General features: G+C 36.7%; 1 annotated feature.

The window, feature by feature from the left end:
- Positions 288 to 1,487: an enhancer, noted in NCBI's record as "MED14-independent group 3 enhancer chr4:135286515-135287714 (GRCh37/hg19 assembly coordinates)". NCBI's record gives its function as "activates an origin of replication core promoter dependent on BRD2, BRD4, P300/CBP and CDK7 cofactors, and independent of MED14, by STARR-seq in HCT116 cells {active_cell/tissue: HCT116}" and the evidence as "EXISTENCE:reporter gene assay evidence [ECO:0000049][PMID:35650434]".

Genomic DNA, 1,851 nt, shown 5'->3' on the forward strand with positions numbered 1-1,851 from the left:
ATCATAACATTAGTGTCAAGAGCTACATTATATGACACAGGTTGCGTAATATACATAGGGATTTTAGATACTCTGTGAAGCATGGTAGGTATGACACCAGTCTTGTTTAGTTCAAAGTGTATAACCTTATTGAAAGATAAATTGCTTTATTAATTTATTGTTAATATTTATTTAACAAATATTTTTAACAATTACTGTGTGTCAAACTATATTCCAGGGAGAAGAAACAGAGAGATCTATAAGAAATATGAATCCTGTCCTCATGAAGTTTATGCTATAATAGTAATAATTAATAATAAAGAGGGCTCTTAATATAAGTAATCTCAGTTACCAAAACTCAGTTTTATACATTTAAAAAGACACCATTTCTTAGATTTAAAAAAACACTCTGAAACAGAGAAAGTTTGTAAATTCCCAGGGTCACACATTTCATAAGCACTAGAGCTAAAGTTCAAAACCAGTGATATGGTTTGGCTCTCTGTCCCCAACCAAATCTCATCTTGAACTGTACTCCCATAATTCCCAAGTGTTGTGGGAGAGACCCAGTGGGAGATGATTGAATCACCGGGGCAGTTTCCCCCATACTGTTCTGGTAGTAGTGAATAAGTCTCACAATATCTGATGGTTTTTATCAGGGGTTTCCACTTTTGCGTCTTCCTCATTTTCTCTTTGCCTGCTGCCATGCATGTAAGACGGGACTTGTTCCTCATTGCCTTCGGCCACGATTGTGAGGCTTTCCCAGCCCCGTGGAACTGTAAGTCCAATTAAACCTCCTTCTTTGTAAATTGCCCAGTCTTGGGTAGGTCTTTGTCAGCCACGTGAAAATGGCCTAATACAACCAGGTATTCCATTCCAAATCCTGTGTTCCTGAACACTAGACTACATCTGCTTATGGAGCATGACTTTGCAAATACTGCAAAAAAAAAAAAAAAATGTTGATTGCTTGAGATCAGAGGTCTGTTGTATCCTGTTGAAAATTGTATCCATTCTTCCTAAAATAGTTCCTAACATACTGTATTGCCATAGATACTGCCCAATAAATTAGTGAATAATTGAACAAATATGTGTTCACTACTGGACTAAGAGACAAGTAACTAACTGCTGCTCAGTCAGATCTTGTTTCCTGTTGCATGGAGACAATTAAGTCAAGGTTAGTGCCTTTCATATTCTTGCTTTCCTCTTTCCTATTTCCATGTCCACTGATTTATCTGAAAACATACCTAATCGTCAACTGTTTTTCTAAGACCAAAACCTGTTCAAGGACAATCGCATCACCTATCACCATGAACTGATCTTTGCCCATCCATTACTGTCTAGCTCTTTTGTACCATCGACTAGTTCCTTGCTACTGGCTCCACTCTCCTCTTAGTTCTCTCCAAACCTAAAACAAGCCTTTATTCACCATAAACTTTCAACTCATTTTCATATTCCTTCCTCATATATGTTTATTAAAGGGTAGTTCATAATCACCACTTGCCTATTTCTTTCCCTTAATTTCCGTTTATAATCAGACTCTGAGTCCTGATGACTTCACATTTTTAAATATTTTGCGATCAAATCAGCATCTACTCATTCACTCACCTTGTTTATCAAATAACATCTGAGAGTTTAATTCTTCCTCTCTCTCACTCTTTACATAAAATAAATCACCAGCACTGTTAATTTTCTCTCTTTTACTGAATCTATCCACTTCCTTCTGTTTTTAATGCTATGATTCTATTTGAAGCAAACTTTTTCCCCCTGAATTATTTCCATAGCCTCCCTACAGGTCTCACTGCATTTTGTATTTCCACCTTCTCACTGTAATGAGAGGAATATGTGCTAGAAAGTGACTAAGACACCCTTTCTCCT

Source organism: Homo sapiens, chromosome 4 (genome assembly GCF_000001405.40).
Source record: "Homo sapiens chromosome 4, GRCh38.p14 Primary Assembly".
Classification (NCBI taxonomy): domain Eukaryota; kingdom Metazoa; phylum Chordata; class Mammalia; order Primates; family Hominidae; genus Homo; species Homo sapiens.